General features: G+C 35.1%; 1 long non-coding RNA gene across 2 annotated transcripts in view, besides 1 other annotated feature; it reads left to right on the top strand.

Moving 5' to 3' along the window:
- Positions 1-2,736: 2,736 nt before the first annotated feature.
- Positions 2,737-26,443, top strand: part of LOC105377514 (uncharacterized) — a 58,262-nt gene continuing 34,555 nt past the window's right edge. Inside the window, exons 1-3 of one of the 2 annotated variants that reach the window (XR_939407.1) lie at positions 2,737-2,781; positions 21,803-21,900; positions 25,611-25,684. This is a non-coding gene — a long non-coding RNA (uncharacterized LOC105377514). Of the gene's footprint in view, positions 2,782-21,802; positions 21,901-25,610; positions 25,685-26,443 lie in introns of those variants that run through there. The other variant, XR_939408.1, reaches the window with a different exon arrangement.
- Positions 5,008-5,177: an enhancer, noted in NCBI's record as "experimental_75339 CRE fragment used in MPRA reporter constructs". NCBI's record gives its function as "activates a minimal promoter by MPRAs in K562 erythroleukemia cells, with activity observed for both the introgressed and non-introgressed 4:162043690 variant alleles {active_cell/tissue: K562}" and the evidence as "EXISTENCE:reporter gene assay evidence [ECO:0000049][PMID:34662402]".

The following is a 26,443-nucleotide window of genomic DNA, read 5'->3' as shown; positions in this document are numbered from 1 at the left end:
GCACTCCAGCGGGACAACAAGAGTGAAACTCTGTCTCAAAAATAAAATAAAATAAAAAAATAAAGTGCCGTCTTGCATTTGCTTCCACTACTTTCCTGTTTCACTTTAGTTTTCCCTGTCTGAGGATTGTACCTCCAAATAAAATTATATATACATACGCATATATGTGTGTGTCTATATGTCTATGTAATTCCTATATATACATAACACATATGTGTGTACATAAACGGCCATAGCCTTATTTTTCAGGAAATAGGGACTAAAACACTTAATACCAGAAAAGGCCAGAGTCATATTTTGGATCTAGCTTTCCCACTTGTTAAAACAAAGCAAAGCAAAACTAACAAACACAAAAACGGGAACTTATGCTTCTGTTTGCAATTTGAGTGAGCATAAAACTTGGTTGACAGATAAGGTTCAGATGAGAGTTGATACTTTGGCAGGAGGAAAGTTGCTATTGTACTTGATGGTAGAATGGCAATAATGACCTTATTATATTATTATTATTTTCTGTGAAGAAGCTGCTTTTGAAAGCAAGTGAAGCTTTGCAAAAAATTTTTAGGTTAAGAAGTGTTAATTAGCAACTTAAATCATGCTGTGAAAGTGAGAATGAAAAAGATGTTTAACTAGAAATTCTTATCCTCTACAGATAACGGACAGACCTTGGTGAACATTAGCTTCAGGATCTAATAATAAAGAATGAGAAGTAATCTAAAGCCAGAATAATTGTGTTATAATAAAGTCAGATCCCTGATGAAGTAGGAGAGAGAGCTTTAGTCTTAGTATGATAGCCTCAGAGTGTGGGAAATTTGAAAACCCAAATCCCTGTAAAACTCCTTGGCAAACAGTAACATCCTCTCCCCTTTTCAGAAGAGAAACAAAAACAAAACAAACCAGATTTCCTTGCATAGTGACCTCACCTGAAGGAGGCACCTTGCATGATAAAGTTTGTTCCTCTCAAGAACATCCAAACCAACTCTAATGTTTTTGTATTAATAACCAAGGTTCCGATTTAGCATCATTGAAATTGGAAAATATTGGCCGTCCTCCAGAAAAAAAAGGGATCTAAATTCTCCCACCATAAATTGAAAAAAAAAGCTTATTAAATATATATTTGAAGGAACCTGGATAACATGTATGGAGATGTATTTTTAGGGAGTTATACCAGAGCAGGAATAATATAAGAGTAGATAAGGGAAAACGCATTGAAAAAGGGACTTATCCCTTACTATACATTAAGTATTCTGGCAAGGAGAGACAGAGCTGTCCTAATACACTGCTGTGTTATCACCTTGAGTTCTGAACATAATGATGCCCTATAGTAAATGAGATTGAGATGTTGGTGTGTCCTTAATATAAGACCTTGGAATTATCAGGGAGTAAGTAGGGAATGTTGGAGTGGATTTACTGTGTTAGAAACTAAGAAATTTCCTTTTTTAAAGCTCACTAATATTTTATTTTATTTATCTATATCTATATGTACATCTATTTCATTTTGTATCACTATCTATATCCATTTATACATTGACAGGCACTTAAGTTGTTTCCAGTTCTTGTCTGTTGTGAATAATGTTGCAATGAACATAAGAGTGCAGTTATCTCTTGAAACAGTGATTTTAATTATTTTGAATATATAATGAGAAGTGGGAGTGCTGAATTATATGGTAACCCTATTTTCAATTTTCTCAGAAACCTTCATACTCATTTCTATAATGGCTATACCAGTTTATATTCCCATCAACAGTATATAAGCATTGCCTTTTCTCTACATCTTCACCAATACTTACCTTCAGACTTTTTGATAATAGCTATCCTAACAGATGTGAGGTATTTTTAAATTATATTTTCCTGATGATTGGTGATGTTGAACACTTTTTCATATACTTATTGGATATTTGTGTTTCTTCTTTGAAAAAATGTCTGTTTAGATCCTTTATTCATTTTTTTTAATTGGGTTATTTGGTTTTTCACAATTGAGTTCTCAGAGCTCTTCTTACAGTTTGGATATTAACTCCTTATTAGATACACAATTTGCAAACATTTTTTCTCATTTTGGGGGTTACTTTTTAAGTTTTTGATTGTTTCCATTGCTGTACAGAAACTTTTTAGTTTGATGTAGTCCTATTTGCTTATATTTGCCTTTCTTACCTGTGCTTCTGGTGTCCCATCAAAAAAATCATTGCCAAGACCAATGTCATAGACCATTCTCCTGTTTTCTTGGAGGAGTTTTGTAAAAACATGTATAAACATGAAGGACATTATGCAAAGTGAAGGAAGGCAGACATAGAAATACAGATACTGCATAATCTAATTTATATGTGGAATCTAAAGAGTTTGAACTCATAAAATAGAGAGTAGAAGGGTGGTTACAAGGAGTCTGGGGTGGGAGAAGAGGGACATGTTGATCAAAGGGTAGCAACTTGTGCTTATAGGGTGAATTAGCGCTAGAGACCTAATGTACAGCATGGTAATTATAGCTAAGAATAACATAATATATCCTAGAAATGTGTGAAGGAGTGACTTTAGGCATTCTCACCACCAAGAAAAGAAAAAGACAACTATGTGAGGTGATGGATATGTTAATTAGCTTGATTGTGGCAATTGTTTTGTAATTTATACATATATCAAAACATCACATTGTGTACCTTGAATGTTTACAATTCACATTTATCTATTATACATCACTAAAGCTGAAAAAAGAAATATAAATTTTCACCTTACTCTATTCTTTGGCAGGGCACGGAGATCACTATCTTTCATAAAGCAATGAAGAATGGACAGGTAAGGGGGCACCAGCATCTTTTGAGACATTTGCTGTTGGCCATCCTCTTCTGGTTAGAGTTAACAGTGGAAGATGTTGCCATGGAACCACATTCCCTAATTTTAACATGTTTTATAGAATTTCATAATAGCAGATATCAGGTTGTGGACTTTTTATTGTGATAGGTAAGATGGCTTTAATCCTTATGTTATAGTAAGGCTGGAAGTCTAACAATGTGCTCTGACTCTCAGGTCACTGTGTTAACCTAGAGTAGTTCATAATGTCCCTGGAGGTATGATAGGTAGGGTGTTTAATCAATATAATCAAAACAAAATGGAGAGTCAGTAAGGTCAGTATGTCAGTCATTGCAATGGGAAATAATGATTTTTCACCAAGGTGCTACAAATGATGCAATGATTAAAAAGCAGAGAAAATTATTTTAAGAAAAGACATTGTATTACCATCCAAAATGTTTACAAAAAATATTATTCTCATACTTCCATAAAGAAATCTGTGGCAATTTCCCCAGATAACTGTTCACTTGAGAAAAGGAAATGCCTACAAATTCAAGAGCGGAGATAAGGCACCTGACCTTACTCTGATACTAGGTAAATCACAAAGGCTATAAGAAATAATGAATATTTTCAGCTGTGCAAACTAAATACATAGCAGGGAATATATGAATAACCAAGCCATAAATCCATGTTTACACTCAAAATATTTGCCTCTGTGGAACCTCGGGTTTAGAAATCACATGGTTGACAAAGGCAAGCCTTTGGGATCATGCAAGGCAAGTTGATGGAAATGAGTAGGTTATAAGAACTTTCCTTCCTACCCCCATGTCCCCACAAAATGCCAACATTCTTGAAATATAGGCTTCATGAAAGGATAGTCAGCAGGTAGCTAGATTCCATGGAGATCCACTCAGTGAAAGGATAGTCAGCATTTCTAGCAGAGACACAGAGACACATACATACACAAATGTGTCTATGTGTCGTGTTTTGTCTGGAATTTGAATGGAGATTTTTTTTCAAAAATAATTTGTATATAAAAGCCTTTACCCATAATAATCTTCTGTTTTGTTTTCTTCTTGAAATGGAGTCTCTCTCTGTCACCCATGCTGGAGTGCAATGACGTGATCTTGGCTCACTGCAACCTCCGCCTCCCTGGTTCAAGCGATTCTCCCACCTCAGGCTCTGGAGTAGCTGGGATTACAGTCACTTGCCACCATGCCCGAGTAATTTTTTTGTATTTTTGGTAGAGACGGGGTTTCGCCATGTCGGCCAGGCTAGTCTTGAGCTCTTGACCTCAGGTGATCTGTCCGCCTTGGCCTCCCAAAGTGCTGGGATTATACCACTGCGCCTGGCCTCTGTCAGCATTTGTCAGTGTTGAAACAGTTGTCATGGAGGCCTGCCTGTTCAGCTGTTAGTGATACTTGGCCTGCCACACCATGACACAAGTTTACCTATATAACAACTTGTACATTTACCCCTAAACTTAAAAGTTAAAAAATTAATATGTAAATTCTAAAAACTCAGATAACAAGCCAATTAAGAGACAAGAGAAACAGCAAAGGAGTTTGAAGACAACTTTACTTATGACTATAGATGCAAAAAATCCTGAAGACAAATATAAACTAGAAATTACACAATGTGCACATTCATTAACACATTAAATGATAAAAATAATCCCAATAAATGAAAGAAAACATAATTTTTTCTCCTGTCATAATAATTTCTCTTTATGTGCTTCACCTACTAAAGGACAATTATCACTATCCTAAAGCAAACACTATTCTTAAGTCTGAACCGTTAGAACTATTTTTTAAATCACATATTAGACAAGTCCTTGATACTTACCACTAACAGTTGTTTTAAAAAATAATTAATAGTCAATAGTAAAGAAAAATAATTTATACTAACAATAAAATTTAAAAACCATATTGTTCATTCACACATGTAAACATATTTGCTACTGGGTACATCTTTCAATTAAATAAAATTTAACTTCCATAATTTTCCCTACACCTTAAAATTTTATGTAATTGCTAAAAAAACCTTTCATTGTTGTTTCACGTTCAACCAAAATAATTTACAATAACTGAGATCCTGTTGTACCTATGTGATTTGCATAATTAATTTCAGTACCATTCCTCTGATTTGGTTGTGTTATTTACAATAGTGTATAACTGCCTATTTTTCCAATGAGAGTTCAAAAAATGTGTCAACAAAAAAAATACAAAGTATTTTTGTCTAAAGACAGAAATAATAGGCTATTATCACAATCCTTTTACTGTGGTTTGGCTTTTTTTAGGCAATGCGTATTACAACATTCTTGCTGTTGGGAATTCTATAAATTAGTTGTTTGAACCTTAACTAATTATTTCCATTTTATTTTGATCACTGAAATGTAATGTACTTAATATAGCAACAAATGTACATGTTAGACAGAAATTATTATCTTCTATCTGGTATAATAGTCATATCTTTTTACTTGCCATCATAAATAAAATTTAAAACTATAATATATGAGATTGTATGTTCAATGAAATTATTTTAAAGAAACAAGAACAGAAAAATTTGTAAATTTCTGACTCTTACATGAATTTGTTCAAAACACTTATTTTTAAGATGGTCAGTTTATACTCAGAAAGAAATATTTTCTCCTGAGCTAGTACTTGAAATGAAGCTAGCACACAGGCAAACATATCTTATTATAGGGTCAACATATGCATTTCTTTAGTAGACTCAAAGAAAAAAACCTCTTTAATTAATTAACTTAAAATATTTCATCTTAATCAAGATATTTTAAATTGTTATTAATTACATTAAAAGGATTTTTAAAATAGTTCTGAATAAAACAGAAGTGTTTGTATGGATTAGTGAAACATTTTAAATTTTACCCCAAATACTGTGTTTTTTGAGAGAAAATAGGTTGAGTGTAAATATTCAGATGGAAGTTAATTAAAAATGGTCATGAAAATACTTAGATCAGGCTGGGCACAGTGGCTCATACCTGTAATCCTGTCACTTTGAGAGGCCTAGATGGGAGACTTGGGAGAGCTGCTTGAGCCCAGGCATTCAAGACCAGCCTGGGCAACATAGTGAGATCCTGTCACTACAAAAAAATAATTTAAAAACGTAGCCAGGCCTGGTGGTGTGCTAAGATAGTCCCAGCTACTGGGGGTAGTGTGGCTGAGGAAGATAGCTTGAGCCCTGGAGGTCAAAGCTGTAGTGAGTCATCATTGCGCCACTGTACTCTAGCTTGCAAGACAGAATAAGACCCTGTCTAAAAAAAAAAAAAATGCTTAGATCATTCAAGAATTTTAGGGATTTATGGTACTTATTTGATATCATGCCTAATTTTACTTAATATTTTTATGTAATTGAAAAATATGTTATAGTTTAGGTTGTAAGTTCTGACTTAGATATTTCTTGGGTTATTAGTGAAATGAAGTTAGAATTAAAAACCAAGAATTTTCCTTAATTTTGTGGAGAAAAATAGGAAACACTAGATGTAAAAGTGAAAAGAATGAATAAAATATTTGTACACATGTGGAAGAGAAATACTCTAAAATTAAATTAACTGATGCAGAGGGAAAAAAGGAAAGGGGCAACTTTTTTCTCGATTCTTTTTAACTTTCCTTCAATTCTGAATTATTTATGAAAAAAATAGTTTTAAAGATAGGATCTTAAAATCAAAAATAGTTACCAGCCTCTTTTCCCTGCTTCAGAACCATTTTCAGAGATAACCATTTTTTGAGTTTTTAATTTTTACTCATTTGATGATCAATTGTATAACTTTGAGTTATATACATTTTTTCTTTAGTCTATTGTAAAATTCCTTAGAAATAATACTGATTTACCACTAAAAAATGTGAAGAATGCAGTAAATTTCCCTGCTCCCCACTTCTGTGTTCAACTCCTGGTTTGTGTTAATTTTACTATGATTATTTCATTGTCAAGTTTTACAGCGTTTATCCTCCTTTTCATATATAATGAACTCTTCTGTGCTTTTTCGTCAGTTTAAAACTTGAAACTTAACTCTCTACACAACATTTACACAATTATAATAATGCAATCAATATTGTAGAGCAAGTATTGTGAATAATCCAATAGAAAAGAGATGTGAGTCTGTGCTTCAAATATTTGTTGCTCAGTGAAGACTTTGCCATTCATTCGGTCCAATGAATTTGCTTCTAATTTTTTTATTTTCTTTCTTAGGTTATCTTTACTCCCATGCCTTCTGTTTCCAATTTTACCTTCTTTGAAATAGATCTTTACATTTTGCTGTCGTAACTTTTTAAGTTTTTTTTCATATAGTTTGCTTAGATGACTAATATTCGTATTCTTTGGCTATTGGAAATATTCTAGATCGAATAATCAAACACTCAAAATATTTGCCTATATGGAAGCTTGGGATTTGGGAATCACATTGCTGACAAAAGGCGAAGCTTGAGATCATGCAAGGCAAGATCCCCAGTGTGACAGTATCTTGTCATGACTTGATAACTTTCCAGTTTATGGAATTATAAGTTCAAAAATGTTATTTTATTATAATTTGGAAGGTGTTGATTGATTGTTTGTAACCTTCATTGTTGATGAGAACAATGACGTTAGTCTAATTTTCTTCACTTCTTAGAGACGGAGTCTCGCTCTGTCGCTCAGACTGGAGTGCAGTGGCGCGATCTTGGCTCACTGCAAGCTCCGCCTTCTGGGTTCAAACCATTCTCCTGCCTCAGTCTCCCAAGTAGCTGGGACTACAGGTGCCCGCCACTACTCCTGGCTAATTTTTTGTATTTTTTAGTAGAGACTGGGTTTCACCATGTTAGCCAGGATGGTCTCGATCTCCTGACCTCGTGATCCACCCGCCTCGGCCTCCCAAAGTGCTGGGATTACAGGCGTGAGCCACTGCGCCCAGTCAGTTCAGTTGATTTTTGCCACCCTCATATATATGAGAATATTTTCTCTTCAATTTTCGGTCTCTGATATTTTATCTTAATCTGTTTCACCATGAGTCTTTGATCATTGGTTCCGTTCAACAGTCAGTGGATTCCATCAATCTAAATATCTATTCCCTCTTCAGCTCATAGAGAATATTTTATTAAAGTGCTTCATCAAATCTAAAGTGTTCTTGACTCTATATTATGCCATAGTTTGCGTAACATTACCAAAGAAAAAATCTGCCAAATGAACTACCACATGCCAGTGATTGTATCATCTCAACTTTAGAATTGTTAAAAATGTGAAAACAAATATATGTTCTAAAGTCAATGAAAATGGTACTTCACGTTTGTCTCTGATCTCTCCCTCTCTATGATTAGTTACATGCAGAGCCAGCCTTTAATCTAAACCCACATCTGTTTATTTTTCCCATTCCACCCCTTTTCTTATACTTAATCCTATGAGAATAACTTTGCTTTAAAATATGAACTCCACATTATTTTGTATATTTTTAAATTAAAACTTCATTAAATGGTTTACATTTTATCCTCATAAGAATCCCATTGCACCCCACACACAAAATAAATTCTGGATGTATTTCAGGCTTAAATATGAAGGGCAAAGCATAAAGCACAGTAGAAAAAGTATATAAAGGACTCTATTTATTCATGTTAGGTAAATTTCCGTAAAGAATAGAAACAATAACAAGAGAGTGACGAGAGACATAGGAAGCAGAAATAATAATGACGAGAGACATACAAATGGCCAAAAGGTATATAAAAATATGTGCAACATCACTAATCATCAGGGAAATGTAAATCAAAACACAAAACACAATGAGATATCACTTCACACATTGGAATTAAAAACATCAACAAAAGATACTTGTTGGCAAGGATGTGGAGAAACTGGAACCCTTGTAACACTGTTGGTAGGAATGCAAAGTGGTGCAGCCACTATGAAAATAGTGTTCCTCAAAAAATTGAAAATAGAATTACCATATTCGTCAACAATTGCCGCTTCTGAGTATATATCCAAAAGAATTGAAATCAGAATCTCAGAGATATGTGCACTTCCATGTTCTTTGCAGCATTATTCACATTGCAGCATTATTTGTATACAGAATCAACCTGTGTCTATCAATGAATGAATGTATAAAGAAAATATGATATATACATAGAATATTATTCAGCATTAGAAAAGAAGGAGAGATTCCTGGGCAAGATGGCAGAATAGGAACAGCTGCGGTCTGCAGCTCCCACCCAGCGAGACCAACGCAGAAGGCAGGTGATTTCTGCATTTCCAACTGAGGTAGCCGGTTCACATCATTGGGACTGGTTAGACAGTAGGAGCAGCCCATGGAGGGTGAGCTGAAGCAGGGTGGGGTGCCTCCTCAGCCAGGAAGCACAAAGGGTCAGGGAACTCCCTCCGTTAGCCAAGGGAAGGCATGAGGGACTATGCTGTGAGGAACAGTGCACTCCAGCACAGATACTACACTTTTCCCATGGTCTTTGCAACCTACAGACCAGGAGATTCCTTCGGGTGCCTACACCACAAGGGCCCTGGCTTTCAAGCTCAAAACTGGGTGGCTGTTTGGGCAGACACTGAGCTAGCTGCAGGAGTATTTTTTTGTACCCCAGTGGTGCCTGAAATGCCAGTGAGACAGAACCGTTCACTCCCCTGGAAAGGGGGCTGAAGCCAGGGAGCCAAGTGGTCTTGCTCAGAGGTCCCACCCCCATGGAGCCCAGCAAGCTATGATCCATTGGTTTGAAATTCTCGCTGCCAGCAGAGCAGCCTGAAGTAGACCTGAGATGCTCCAGCTTGGTGGGGGGAGGGGCGTCTGCTATTAATGAGGCTTGAGTAGGTGGTTTTCCCCTTACAGTGTAACCAAAGCCTCCAGGAAGTTTAAACTTGGCAAAGCCCACCACAGTGCTTCAAAGCCACTGTAGCCAGATTACCTTTCTAGATTCCTCCTCTCTGGTCAGGGCATCTCTGAAAGAAAGGCAGCAACCCCAGTCAGGGGCTTATAGATAAAACTCCCATCTTACTGGAACAGAACACATGGGGAAAAGGGCAGTTGTGGGAACAGCTTCAGCAGACTTAAACGTCCCTGCCTGCCAGCTCTGAAGAGAACAGCAGATCTCCCAGCACAGCACTTGAGCTCTGCTAAAGGACAGACTGCCTCCTCATATGGGTCCCTGACCCCTGTGCCTCCTGATGGGGAGACACCTTCCAGGAGAGGTCGACAGACACCTCCAACAGGAGAGCTCCGGCTGGCATCTGGCAAGTGCCCCTCTGGGATGAAGTTTCCAGAGGAAGGAACAGGCAGTAATCTTTGCTCTTCTGCAGCCTCTGCTGGTGATACCCAGGCAAAAAGGGTCTGGAGTGTACCTCTGGCAAACTCCAGCAGATCTGCAGCAGAGGGGCCTATTAGAAGGAAAACTAACAAACAGAATGCAATAGCATCAACATCAACAAAAAGGACATCCACATAAAAACCCCATCCGAAGGCCACCAACATCAAAGACCAAAGGGAGATAAATCCAAGAAGTTGAGGAAAAACCAGCGCAAAAATGCTGAAAATTCCAAAACCCAGAGTGCCTCTTCTCCTCCAAAGGATCACAACTCCTGGCCAGCAAGGGAACAAAACTGAATGGAGAATGAGTTTGACAAATTGACAAAAGTAGTCTTCAGAAGGTGGGTAATAATAAACTACTCCGAGCTAAAGGAGCATTTTCTAACCCAATGCTAGGAAGCTAAAAACCTTGATAAAATGTTGGAGGAATTGCTAACTAGAATAACCAGTTTAGAGAAGAACATAAATGACCTGATGGAGCTGAAAAACACAGCACGAGAACTTCGTGAAGCATACACAAGTATCAATAGCTGAATCAATCAAGCAGAAGAAAGGATATCAGAGATTGAAGATCAACTTTATGAAATAAAGCATGAAGATAAGATTAGAGAAAAAAGAATGAAAAGGAACAAACAAAGCCTCCAAGAAATATGAGACTATGTGAAAAGACCAAACCTACGTTTGGTTGGTGTACCTGAAAGTGATGGGGAGAATGGAACCAAGTTGGAAAACACATTTCAGGATATTATTCAGGAGAACTTCCTCAACCTAGCAAGACAGGCCAACATTCAAATTCAGGAAATACGGAGAACACCACAAAGATACTCCTTGAGAAGAGCAACCCCAAGACACATAATGGTTGGATTGACCAAGGTTGAAATGAAGGAAAAAATGTTAGTAATGGCAGCCAGAGCGAAAGGTCAGGTTACATACAAAGGGAAGCCCATCAGACTAACAGTGGATCTCTCTGAAGAAACCCTACAAAACCAGAAGAGAGTGAGGTGCCAATATTCAACATTCTTAAAGAAAAGAATTTTCAACCAAGAATTTCTTATCCAGCCAAACTAAGCTTCATAAGTGAAGGAGAAATAAAATCCTTATAGACAAGCAAATGCTGAGAGATTTTGTCACCACCAGGCCTACCTTACAAGAGCTCCTGAAGGAAGCACTACATATGGAAAGGAAAAACTGGTACCAGCCACTGCAAAAACAAACCAAAATGTAAAGACCATCGACATTATAAAGAAACTGAAACTAATGGGCAAAATAACCAGCTAATATCATAATGACGGGATCAAGTTCACACATACCAATAATAACCTTAAATGTAAACAGGCTAAATGCCCCAATTAAAAGACACAGACTGTCAAACTGGATAAAGATTCAAGACCCATTGGGGTGCTGTATTCAGGAGACCCATCTCACATGCAAAGACACACATAGGCTCAAAATAAAGGGATGGAGGAAGATTTACCAAGCTAATGGAAATTAAAAAAAAGCAGGGGTTGCAATCCTAATATCTGATAAAACAGACATTAAACCAAAAAGATCAAAAAAGAAAAAGAAAGGCATTACATAATGGTAAAAGAATTAATGCAACAAGAAGAGCTAACTGTCCTAAGTATATATGCACCCAATGCAGGAGCACTGAGATCCATAAAGCAAGTTCTTAGAGACCTACAAAGAGACTTAGGCTCCCACACAATAATAGTGGGAGGCTTTAACACCCCACTGTCAATATTAGGCAGATCAAGGAGACAGAAAATTAACAAGTATATTCAGGACTTGAACTCAGCTCTGGACCAAGTGGACTTAATATACATCTACAGAATTCTCCACCCCAAATCAATAGAATATACATTCTTCTCAGCACCACATTGCACTTATTCTAAATTGACCACATAATTGGAAGTAAAACACTCCTCAGCAATTGCAAAAGGAAGGAAATCATAACAGTCTCTCAGACCACAGTGCAATCAAATTAGAACTCAGGATTAAGAAACTCACTCAAAACCACACAGCTGCATGGAAACTGAACAACTTGCTCCTGAATGACTATTGGGTAAATAACAAAATGAAGTCAGAAATAAATAAGTTCTTTGAAACCAATGAGAACAAAGACACAATGTACTAGAATCTCTGGGTCACAACTAAAGCAGTATTCAGAGGGAAATTTATAGCAGTAAATGCCCACAGGAGAAAGTGGGAAAGATCTAAAATCTACACCCTAATGTCACAATTAAAAGAACTAGAGAAGCAGGAACAAACAAATTCAAAAGCTAGCAGAAGACAAGAAATAACTAAAATGAGAGCAGAACTGAAGTAGATAGAGACATAAAAAACTCTTCAAAAAAGCAATGAATCCAGGAGGTGGTTTTTGAAAAGATTAACAAAACAGATGGACTGCTAGCCAGACTAATAAAGAAGAAGACAAAGAAGAATCAAATAGACACAATCAAAAGTGATAAACAAGATATCACCACTGATCCTACAGAAATACAAACTACCATCAGAGAATACTATAAACACCTCGACAGAAATAAACTAGAAAATCTAGACGAAATGGATATATTGCTGAACACATACACCCTCCCAAGACTAAAACAGGAAGAAGTTGAATCCCTGAATAGACCAATAAGAAGTTTTGAAATTGAGGCAGTAATTAATAGCCTACCAACCAAAAAAAGCCCAGGACCAGACGGATTCACAGCTGAATTCTACCAGAGGTACAAAGAGGAGCTGGTACCATTCCTTCTGTAACTATTCCAAACAATAGAAAAAGACAGACTCCTCCCTAACTCATTTTATGAGGCCAGAGTCATCCTGATACCAAAACCTGGCAGAGACACAACAAAAACGGCAATTTCAGGCCAATATCCATGGTGAACATCGATGCAAAAATCCTCAATAAAATACTGGCAAACCGAATCCAGCAGCACATCAAAAAGCTTATCCACCACGATCAAGTTGGCTTCATCCCTGGGACGCAAGGCTGGTTCAACATACACAAATCAATAAACATAAGCCACCACATAAACAGAACCAATGACAAAAACCACATGATTATCTCAATAGATTCAGAAAAGGCCTTCGATAAAATTCAACACCTTTTCATGCTAAAAACTCTCAATAAACTAGGTATTGATGGAATGTATCTCAAAATAATAAGAGCTATTTATGACAAATCCACAGCCGATATCATAATGAATGGGCAAAAGCTGGAAGCATTCCCTTTGAAAATCGGCACAAGACAAGAATGCCGTCTCTCACCACTCCTATTCAACAGAGTATTGGAAGTTCTGGCCAGGGCAATCAAACAAGAGAAAGAAATAAAGGTATTCAGATAAGAAGAGAGGAAGTCAAATTATCTCTATTTGCAAATGACATGATTGTATGTTTAGAAAACCGCATCATCTCAGCCCAAAATCTCCCTAAGCTGATAAGCAACTTCAGCAAAGTCTCAGGATACAAAATCAATGTGCAAAAATCACAAGCATTCCTATACACCAATAATAGACAAACAGAGACCCAAATCATGAGCAAACTCCCATTCACAATTGCTAAAAAGAGAATAAAATACCTAGCATACTACTTGCAAGAGATGTGAAGAACTTCTTCAAGGAGAACTACAAACCAGTGATCAGTGATGGTGAACCTTTTTTCATATGTTTGTTGGCCGCATGAATGTCTTCTTTTGAGAAGTGTCTGTTCATATACTTTGCCCACTTTTTGATGCTCAAGTAAATAAGAGAGGACACACACAAATAGAAAAACATTTCATGCTCATGGATAGGAAGAATCAATGTTATGAAAATGGCCATACTTCTGAAATTAATTTATAGATTCAATGTTATTCCCATCAAGGTACCATTAACTTTCTTCATAGAATTAGAAAAAACTACTTTAAATTACACTTGGAACCAAAAAAGAGTTTGTATAGCCAAGACAATTTTAAGCAAAAAGAACAAAGCCAGACCCATCAGGGTACCTGACTTCAATCTGTACTATAAAGCCACAGTAACCAAAACATCATGGTACCGGTACCAAAACAGATATATAGACCAATGGAACAGAACAGAGGCCTCAGACATAACGTCACACATCTACAACCACCAAACCTGACAAAAATAAGCAATGGGGAAAGGATTCCCTATATAATAAATGGTGTTGGGAAAACTGGCTAGCCTTATTCAGAAAACTGAAACAGGACCCCTTCCTTACACCTTATACAAAAATTAACCCAAGATGGATTAAAGATTTAAACATAAGACCTAAAACCATAAAAACCCTAGAAGAAAACCTAGGCAATACTATTCAGGACATAGGCATGGGCAAAGACGTCATGACTAAAACACCAAAAGCAATGGCAACAAAAGCCAAAATAGACAAATGGGATCTAATTAAACTAAAGAGATTCTGCACAGCAAAATAAACTATCATTAGCATGAACAGGCAACCTACAGAATGGGAGAAAATTTTTGCAATCTGTCCATCTGACAAAGGGCTAATATTCAGAATCTACAAGGAACTTAAACAAATTTACAAGAAAAAGAATTAACAACCCCATCAAAAAGTGGGCAAAGGATGTGAACAGACACTTCTCAAAAGAAGACATTTATGCAGCCAACAAACATGAAAAAATGCTCATCATCACTGATCATTAGAGAAACGCAAATCAAAACCGCAATGAGATACCATCTCACACCAGTTAGAATGGCAATCATTAAAAGGTAAGGAAACAATAGATGCCAGAGAGGATGTGGAGAAATAGGAACGCTTTTACTCTGTTGGTGAGAGTGTAAATTATTTCAACCATTGGGCAAGACAGTGTGGTGATTCCTCAAGGATCTAGAAATAGAAATACCATTTGACCCAGCCATCCCGTTACTGGATATATACCCAAAGGATTATAAATCATTCTATCATAAAGACACATGCACATGTATGTTTATTGCAGCATGATTCACAATAGCCAAGACTTGGAACCAATGCAAATGCCCATCAATGTTAGACTGGATTAAGAAAATGTGGCACATATACACCGTGGAATACTATGCAGCTTTAAAAAAGAAGGAGTTCATATCCTTTGCAAGGAAATAGATGAAGCTGGAAACCATCATTCTCAGCAAACTAACACAGGAAAAGAAAACCAAACACTACATGTTCTCACTCATAAGTGGGGGTTGTACAATGAGAACATATGGGCACGGGGAGGGGAATATCACACACCAGGGCCTGTCGGCGGATTGGGGGCTACGGAGGGATAGCATTAGGAGAAATACCTATTGTAGATGACGAGTTGATGGGTGCAGCAAACCACCACGGCATGTGTATACCTATGTAACAAACCTGCACGTTCTGCACATGTATCCCAGAAATTAAAGTATAATGAAAAAATGGGAAAAAAAAGAAGGAAATCCTGTCATTTGCAACAAAATGGATGAACTTGGATGACATCACAGAAAGACAAGTACTGCATGATTCCACGTCTATGAGGTATCTAAAATAATCAAACTCATAAAAAGAGAGTAGTGTGGTAATTGCTAAGGGGTGTGGGGAGGGGTAAATAGCTAATTGCTCTTCAATGGGTACAAAGTGTCTATAGTTAAACACTGTATTGTGCAGTAAAAATTTTGTTAAAAGTGTAGATCTTATATTAAATGTTTCAACCACAATAATAAAAAAGTAAATAAATAAAACGGACAAACAAAAAGCTGGCCTCTTGCCTCACCTCTGGGCAATGATGGAACGTTTTTAATGAGTAAGCCATCTGGGGAAGTCAGTGAGCAGGGGAGTGTCTGGGCTGTATGGGCACTTGCAAGAATACCCACAGCTATTAAACAGTGAATTTTGTTTCCATCCTTAACATTACATATTGTTTAAATGACACACACACACACACACACACACACACACACACACACAGCTATAGTAAGTAATTTCTATAGTTAGTAAATTTCCTCTTCTGTGTCTTTGCCCATCTTCTCCTTGAAGCATGCATCCTTTTATTATTAATTGGTAAAATATCTGTATATATTAAAGATGTTCTTGTGTGTAAAAGACAGAGAGAAAGTGACAAGTTAATCTTCCTTAAAACTAAATTAAAATACAAATGTATATGCATGACCTAATGTATAAAAAACTAAAATATAAGGGCCGGTGTGAAATGATATGTTTATATATATCAAAATTAACAAAGAATTGGCATTGAGAATAAACAAAATATTCTTTTAAATGTGAAAAGTCCACAAGCCAATAGAAAACTGGTGAAAATATATGACTAACGAATTCACATGTTGACACTAAATATACATAAAACTGATTTTCCAACTTGGTATTCTAAGAAGTGAAAGTAAAAGTAATGCTAATTCAATCTGCACACCATTGTGTTGGTAGGAAAAGAAGAAGTCTAACAATGCCAAACATTGTCCAGAATGTGGGCAAATAGGATCTCCCTGGAAATGCTGGTGATAGCATTAATTAGTAAAAGCAATTTCAAAAATGTTTTTAAAATACTTAGAAAACTGGAAAAAGAATCTGTTTTACCAATAATCATTTTTATTTCTAGGAAAATAAAACATATTAGAACCTGGAGATTAAATGTAATGTTATATATTCCAGCATTCTATCTGGATCTACTAATTATTATTATCATTATTATTTTTTTTTCTTTTTTGAGACTTGGTCATACTTGTTATTGGTATCTCCAGCTGGTCTATTTTCCCACATAATTACTCGTGGAATGCAGCTATTTAAGATTATAATTCAATTCCCCACATCAATAAATCATTGCTGATATAACTTTGATAAACTGTTTTATATTAAAATATATTTATGTTATAGGCAGCTTATATATCATATGCAAATATATAATATGCATTGTTATATTATAAATAAAAATATGTTTATATTATGTTACTATAGAATAAATTAGCAAATATGTTAAAATATGTATTAAATATTAAAATATTTTTATGTATCATTAAATGCAAAACAATCTATTTATTCATAATTACATTTTAATTCAGTATTGCATTTATTCTCAAATTACTATTATAGATGACATGTACTATCTCCTCCCTATTGGGTTACACAAAGACATACTCCCGATTTCAAGACACATTAGCATAGCTCTCCTAAGCAAATCTGATTTGGTTCACTTAGACTTATTCAAAGTCAGTGTTATGAAGCTCTACTTACAAATAATACTAGCAAACTTCACAGTTATCACTGTCTCCTGATACAAAATGACACAAGTTAGAGAGTTTCAATCTTTACCAACCTATGAATAAAAGAATAAAAAATTTTATGGCTGACCCACTCTGGAAACAAATGTATTTTCCTGCCATATCTATTTTTCAGCTCATGAGAAAATAAGTTTGTAACCTATATTATCCTGCAGAACTAGCCTAAAACTTGTTCTAAATCCATTTTAACTTTTAGATGTAAACAAGTTATAAATAAATATATTTATTTATATATGAATAATTATTTTCACTTATAGCTCTGCCTGAAATCTCTTTAAACTACTTCCGAAAGTGAGAAATGTATCCGTGCTTGAAAATTCTCAAATTTCTTAAACTCTTAAATTCTGTCGTATCTGATCATATTTATACCTATTGACTGGTTGGAGCCATATTTTTGTTTGCACTGGGGAGCACTCCATTTATGACACTTGGCAAGTTTCATCTGAAATTGTCCAGATCTCAGATGTAATATCCCTGATTATCTTGTAACTACACCGCCATCGCCTCACTCAGGTTTTCTACTTCTTAGTCTAATTCTCATAATTTGTAATTTCTCAGAAATTTATTATTTCATTAATAACGTTCTTATAAGTGCATTGGCATAAGTCAAAGTCTATATTATTAATTTTATAATCTTAGGCTGGGTATAATTTGATTTTGTTATCATTGCTCAAGTTATTTGTTTTCTCTCTTGATTCTGAAATTCCATTTATTTTTATGCATTTCAAATACATGCCTTTTAATATTAAATATCTTATATATGTTAACACATTTCTCAGGAATTTAGAATAAATATTTAACACCCTTTAGAATATGAGAAAACAATCATATTTTCCTTCAAGATATCAGAGATGTCTTTTGGGGGCACTGGATGGCAGGATTCTACTTTGCTGAGTATTATGGCTTTTTGTTTTTTGTGGGTTTTATTTCTAGAAAATATGAGACTGAGGGATCTCATTACATATGAGGCACTTGCTCTCTAGTCATTGAGTAGGGGATGCTTTATTATATATATATATATAAAATATATATATACATATATTATATGTAATATATATGATATATATAATATATATATACACATATATTTTATATATACTTATATACTTACATATATATATATATATATATATCAGGCTGCATGAATCTTGGCTGTCTTTCTCCCACCCCAACTCACATATTCATTTATCTGCAGCTATCAGGAGCAAGGAGATTGGGAATTGACAATATGCAAGATGTGACTCTCTTGGAATCATACTGTATATGCTTTAGTACTCTTGCTCTTGAAACCTTTTCTCTTTCTTATTCCACACCTACTAATGACAAGAACTATTAATGCCTCTGGCACACACTGCTAGTTATCAATCCAATATCTATTATAGCTTTCTTCATTACTAATAGAAACTATAAAAACTTCAATTTAGTCCAGAGATACAATGGGTAAAGCTAAACAAAGAAAATGAAAACTATATATCAAGGACTCTTTTCTGAGAAATATTGCCATAGGACAAAATTTTGGCCACAGAGCTGTACAAAAATGGAAAACCTGTTTAAAATAGGGTCAGCTGACAACTCTCTTCTACTTTCATTTCCTTTTACTAACTGCCAATAACATGCCCTTGATTCCTGGACATAGAGGTGTATTCCTGAGCTCATAAAGCAGAGACACAACACTAATGACAGTGGAACAGAAAGTGTTGAGAAATCTACCACATTAATGAAATGAAATCCTGGGGCTACTGGATCAGCCTTATCTCTGAGAGCCTTGTCTTGGAGAAAAATAAAACACTCATTTGTTTAAGCTACTATTTGTTCAAGTTTTCTATTAGTCATAGCCAAATGGAATCCTGCATTTCCATATGTAATTTTTCTTTTATTGTTTAAAAGTTTTCTTAAGGTTTGACACAAGTTAAACTGTACATGGTCAAAATATGCAATGTGATATTTGTTACATATGAAGCCATTACTACAATTGAAATACATGCATCATCATTTCCAAAAGTTCGTTCACCTTTTTTATTCCCACTTACCCTGCAAAATCCCCATTCCAAGACCATAATTGATGTTCTTTATGTCACCATATAAATACTTTCCAAAGCAATTGTACAATGATACATTCTCATGAGCAGTGTATAAGAAGTTGAATTATACCACATTCTAGTCAAAACTTCCTTTTGTGTTTTCTTCTACATTTTCCATTTTGGTTTTACATTTGGTTATAGGATTCCTTTCAATTTAATTGTTTTATTTGGTGTAAGTTATGAATCAATGTTTATTTTTCAGTATAGAAAAATATCATTTCCCTGAACTGTTTATAGATAAGATTATTGTTTCCCCATTGAATTTGCTTTGCTCCATTGCCAATGATCAGTTGACTGTATATGGGTGGGTCTATTTCTGTACTATTTATACTGTTGTACTGATTGCTAAGATTTTAATTGGGATTGCTTAGATATTAATTGGGGATGCTTAAATCTATAAATCACTTTGGGAAAACTCTCCTACATACCTTTGCACAGTGTTTCCAGTTTTCTTAGCCTTTCTAAACTTCCAACTTCTATCCTTAATTTAGAGAGACTGCAATACTGTTTTGCTAGTAGTCTCTTTACTCTGTCTGCTCTATTTTCCTCTCTCAGTGAATACTGTTCTTTTGTATACATTTTTTATACATTTTATACACAAAATATACAACTGCTAGGAATTACATATTTTGTCTGTGTTAGTGTTGTTGTAGGGAGGGTAATTTTAATCCCAGATCCTTTATATTGATCCATTATACATACATTTCATTCAAGCATTTCATATTGAACTTTTATTCTCAGTAATATATTATCTGTTTTCTCTATTTCCAGGATTCCCCCAAATTTCTTGTCCACTAAGCATGGCATTTATAGCTTTCTGAAAAAGCTATAGATATTTAAATTAAAAAAATTAATACCATACATTTGAGTAGGCCAGGTAGAGCTAAGTTATGTGCTCAGTCCATCGTTTTGAAAGTGTATATATTAGAATGAACATATATATACACATATATTTGTAAATATTCATAGGCATAACAACATTCTGCTTTTGTGACAATTATGTCTTCTTATAGTTCTCATTTGATTCAAAACTCAGTAATGTGAGTGACTTTTTTACTGTATGTTTCAAAATCAAAAGTTAGCAAAGAATATGAGTTTCGATATTTTAATTTTAGTTATATATCTGCTACTAATTATCCGTGTGTATTAGTTGGTTCACTTAAGTGCTCTGGATCTGTATTCCTGCTTATGAGAGTTAAAAAGTCACTAAATTTCTGTCTAGCACTAAGTCACTAATTTTCCAACAGGAAATGGTTGATGATCCACTTTAGGGGTGAGATCTATCTGGCTTTATATTCTCCAACTGTAAGATACTTTCCTTTATAAAGATATAGATCTGTTGTTTAAAATGAGAGCAGGGACACTTTCAGAGTTTCTTCACAACATGCGTATATTTTTGTTCTTTTTTTCAGTTTATCTGACCCATTACTTTTCCTTTTCAAGCTTACTGCCTTTGAAGTACTTGTTATTTAATTTTACTCTGCATGAATTGAACTCAACATATTACATCTCCAAGGAAAAATCTGAAGTCTTATTTCTCATTGTGGTATAAAAGATTGATCTCCTGTTAAAGGGATTTCAAATATTGGTTGGAGAAAAGTTGCTTTGGAATTAAAGTAGCTTTCCAGAGGCCACAGAAAACATGTCATGTAGATAAGAATTTACTTTACTTATATGCACTACGATTCTTTTCTGCTGGGGATACGGAAATCATGGTTTGCCTTATAGTGATACACTATTATAGGATTTTATGATCTCATGAATATTAAGTTAATTTGGGAGTCTATAACTCAATAGATGTTTAGAAAATCTAAAGAACATGTAGATGATACTAAAAATAACACTTCAGAAAACAACAAAATGTTAAAGATAAATTAATAAATAATGAGAATGACAAAAATGGAATCAGTAAGAGGTAAGCTATAGGAAAAAATGCAGTTACATTTTAACATTTAAAGAGCTTGGAATTAATCACTTGCATCCCCACAACAGGAGTATATTAGTTTGTTCTCACACCGCTATAAAAACATACCTGAGACTGGGTAATTTATAAAGAAAAGAGGTTTAGTCGGCTCTCAGTACTGCAGGCTGTACAGACTTCTGCTTCTGGAGAGGCCTCAGGAATCTTACAATCATGGCTGAGGGTGAAGGGAAAGATGGCAGGAGAGAGTGAAGGGGAAAATGCTACATACTTTCAAACAACCAGATCCCTCATGAGAACTCACTCAGTATTATGAGAAAAGCAAGGGAGAAATCTGCCCCCATGATCCAATCACCTCGCACCAGGTCCCTCCCCCAACATCGGGGATTACAATTCAACATGAAATTTGGGTGGGAACACAAAATCAAACCATATTAAAGTGGAAACTGGATAAAATAAAAATCAGTGATTTGTTTGAATTCTGAATTTGCAGGGAGAACTGCTGGCTGAAAATATGAGAAGCCAGCACATCCTGAAAGAAATACCCTAGATCCGCTTAATGGGAAACGAAGCAGCTGGAACCCTAAACAGGTAGGAATATTAAAAGAGTACTTTCATCATTGTTAGTGGTTGAGTATGGGTTAATATGAGACTGAGAAACTGCTGGGGGTCTCAGTCTTTCTATAAAGCCCAACACATTCTCATGGTGAAAATATAAGAAAGATCCCCTCTTGGTTCTGGCAGGTGGAAAAGAAAGGTAATCATTATAAAATAGACCAAGAGATTTCTCCATCACAAAAGCTTAAACTCCAGGGGAAGGCATTTTTCTAATGCCTTATGACAGCTGTAGGAAGGGCAGTTCTCCTACTCCAGCTCTTTCTATCCTTCCTGTAACTAACTAAAGGAAAAAAGTAGCTAATAGGAATCAAGTCATGGAAGTTGACAGAACACTGTAGACCAGAGTAGAGGTCTGTGGAAAAAAAATATTATACCACTGGAGAAACATTATGAAGGTTACTATCCTAAGACACAGGGCCATTTAAACACTGATTTAACAGGAATATTATAAAATACTCTTCTTTGATACATCTTTTTCTACACTAACTGGGTGCAAATTTAGTAACAGATAATTACAGTTGAAAGAACTGTAGAACTTAAACTCTTTCTGAGGAGCAGTGCTTAAGGGAAGTTCAAAACCAAGGGAAAAGACAAAAAACAAGCACACTAGAGGAAATTGATGACTCTGACACCTACAGTTAGAATAAACTTTAACACAACACAACTCCTAGCATAAAACCTCACACTAAAGGCCTTTTTAACTTAGTTCCCATAATCAAATACATCATGCCCAGTTTTAAACAAAAAAATTATAACACATGCCAAAACACAGAAAATACATGGTCCGAGGATACAAAAAATATCAGAAATAAATTCAATTATGTCAGATATTTTGGAATTATCAGACTGGGAATTTAAAATAACTAAGATTAACATGTTAAGTGCTCTAATGGAAAAAAGTAGACAACATTAGAAAATAAATAATTAGTGAAGGCAGAAAGGTAGAAACTGTAACCAAAAATCAAAAGAAAATACTAGAAATCAAAAACAATGTCTAATAAAGAATGTCTTTGATGGGCTAGCCATTAGACTTTACATAGCTGAAGAAATAATTAGTGAACTTGAAGATAGATTCAAAAGAAACTTCTGAAACTTCCAGAAGAAAATTCAAAGAGATAAATAAACAGAATGACAGGGTGACAATATCGAAGGTGTAGCATATGTGTAATTAAAATGTCAAGAGAAAAAAATGAAAGAAATATTTGAAGTAATAATATACATCAAATTGCAGATCCCAGAAGCTCAAAGAATACCAAGTAGAATAAATATCAAAGCACAAAACAAAACAACAATAAAAACCAAAAAAGAAACATATTTAGGCATATTATATTCAAATTGCAGAGAAACAAACACAACAAATAAATGCTGCCAGATAAAAAATAAAACATCCTAAATATAGGATAAGAATAAGAATTACAATACCCTCCTCATCAGAAGCCATGCAAGAAAAAAGAATGAGCAGAAGCCTTTGAAGTGCTAAAAGAAAAAATCCATCAACCTACAATTTTTTTACCAGCAAACTTATTCTACAAAGTTGATGAGAAATAAAGTCTTCTCAGACAAAGACTGAAAGGATTTATCTCCAGCAAAACTGCCTCACAAGACGTTTTAATAGAAATACTTCAGGCAGAAAGAAAATGACATAGATCAGAAACTGTATTTAAAAAGAAGAGCATTAGACAAGGCACGAATGAACGTAAAATAAAATCTTTATTTTTCTTATTCTTATGTGATTTAAAAGATAACTCTTTATTTAAAGCGATAATAGTACCTCTACACTTGATAATTTTAGGATATAGATAAGTGAAACCAATGTGTCACTATTATAAGTGATGGGAGAAAAAAGTTAGGAATACTATGGTGGAAAGTACCTGCACTGCATGCAATAGAGTGTTATTTGAAGGTGAATTTAGATTAAATAAAAATATGTATTGTAAACTCGAGGTCAGTACAAAAAAGTTCCAAAGGAAGTGCAACAGGTATGAAAAAAGAGCATGTAAAATAAAATCACAGAAAATATTCAATTAAAACCAGGGAAGGAAGGAGTGGAAGAAACAAAACAAATGCACCGCATGGAAAACAAAAACGTGGCCGATGTTATTCTAATCATAACAAGGATCATTTAAAAATGAATGGTCTAAATACACCAACTAAAAGGCAGAGATGGTTACAGTTGATTAAAAAAAGATCCAATTATGCTTTTTCTACGTGATGCTTACTTTAGATATAAAGACTCAGGTTGAAAGTAAAGTGGTGGAGAAATGTATACCACGCTAGCACTATGCAAAATAAAGCTGAAGTAGCTATATTAATTTCAGACAAGCCAGACTTCATAAGATGGAAGGTGATCAGCAATAAAAGCACAAGTACATGATGATAAAGAGGTCAATTCTTCAAAAAGACACCATGATCTTAAATATTTATGTATCACAACAGCTTCAAAATACATGAAGCAAAACTGATAGCAGAAAAAGATAAATCCAGTATTACAGTTGGAGAATTCCACATTTTCCTATCACTAATGGTTAGATCAAGTAGGCAGAAAATCACTAAGGATATAGATGATCAGAATAGCATTATGAATTGATGTTATCTAATTTACATGTATGGAAAAAATCAATACAATTAATAAAACTATAGCCAGAATAATGAGGAAAAAGAGAGAGAAGATACACATTAGCGTAATAGAAATGACAGAGAGGTCATCATGACTGATCTCATAAACACTAAAAGAGTAACAAAGAAATACTATGAATAATTCCGTGCCTGCAAATTTTATAACAGAAAAAATGGACCAACTAATTTCTTGAGAGATGCAATCTAGGCTCGGGTTGCGGTGACTCACGCCTGTAATCCCAGCACTTTAGGAGGCCTTGGCAGGAGGATCATGAGATCAGGAGATCGAGACCATCCTGGCTAACATGGTGAAACCCTGTCTCTACTAAAAATACAAAAAATTAGCCAGGCATGGTGGCACATGCCTGTAGTCCCAGCTACTCAGGAGGCTGTGGCAAGAGAATCACTTGAATCCAGGAGGCGGAGGTTGCAGTGAGCCAAGATCACGCCACTGCACTCCAGCCTGGCCGACGGAGCAAGACTCTATCTCAAAAAAAAAAAAAAAAAAAAAAGAAAGATGCAATTTATTAAAACTCTACACAAGGAGAAATAGATAACCAGAATAGCTTTTTAGAAGTCCAGCTCCTGGTCAAAAATTAAAACAACAACAGCAACAATATCATCAACAACAACAATAACAACAAAACATTCCTGTGTGATTTTTCAGATCTGACCATAAGCCATTAAAAAGGCTTTACCTGGTAGTCTTCACAGTGGAAAGCTGCCCTTCCTAAACTAGACTATGTGCACAGCCAGTACATTGCAATTTTGAAGAGAGTTGCAGTCCAATACTTAGCCCTGCTTGGCTGGACATGCTCTTGTGCATACCTGCATTTTTAGTCCAGGCGTGTTCATGTAGAAGCTTTTTTGTCTGAGGCATTTGGCTGAGGTCTTCATCAAGTGCCTCTTCTGAGACCTCCTTGGGGAAGGACCTGTGTTTGAAGACACTAATACTTAGTCTGACTCAGTACTTAGTAATTGTTCATTCCTAGCACTCTCTCTACTCTCTCCCCACAGCCTTAGAGTCCATAAAACTACAGGAGCCTTTTTTTCTTTCTCTTTCATAGTGATGCCACTCTGTGCTGATACACCTGACCCTCCACCAATGAACTGGCCCAACTGGGGAAATGGAAAATGGGAGAGTAGGTATTTTCTCTGAATTTAGCATCTTGCTGATGCTATTGCAATAAGTGATTAAAGGCTTCCCTGTTACTTGAATTTTGGCATGTTTTTGCTTTAGTAAACGACTGGACACCTGGTTGCTCAGCTTTCTCTCTAGCTCAGCTGAGCTCTTGACAACTCTGTATCTATTAAATAAATTAAATACATCATTAATAACCTTCAAGAAAGAAAACACTAAACCTAGATACCATCGCTGGTGAATTCTACCTAACATATATGAAAGAAACATTTTTTTTTTCACAATCTCTTCTAGAAAATAGATGCAGAGGAAACACTTTCTGACTCATTGTATAAAGCTGATATTACCTTAATATGAAAATCATATTCAGACATTACTAAAAGTAAAACTATAGAACAATATTTTTCTTATAAACTTAAACAGAAATAGCCTCAATAAAATATTAGCAAATTGTGTCAAACAATGCACAAAAACAGTTACACTCCGTGAACAAATAGAATTTGTTCCAAGAATTCAAGGCTAATTTATCATGCAAAAGTCAATAATATAATTCATCATATCAACAGGCTAATGAAGAAAAACATGATCATTTCGACTGACACATAAAAAAGTATTTGACAAGATCCAACACCAATTTATGAAAAACATTTCAGCTTATGAAGATAGAGATCAATATGCAAAAGTCAATTACCTTTTCATACTCCATCAATGGACAATTGGAATTTGATGTTACAAAAACAACACTGTTTACAATAGCAC

This window comes from Homo sapiens, chromosome 4 (assembly GCF_000001405.40).
Source record: "Homo sapiens chromosome 4, GRCh38.p14 Primary Assembly".
NCBI lineage: Eukaryota > Metazoa > Chordata > Mammalia > Primates > Hominidae > Homo > Homo sapiens.
The sequence above is the reverse complement of the archived record's forward strand: the minus strand, read 5'-3'. Positions and strand labels throughout refer to the sequence as shown.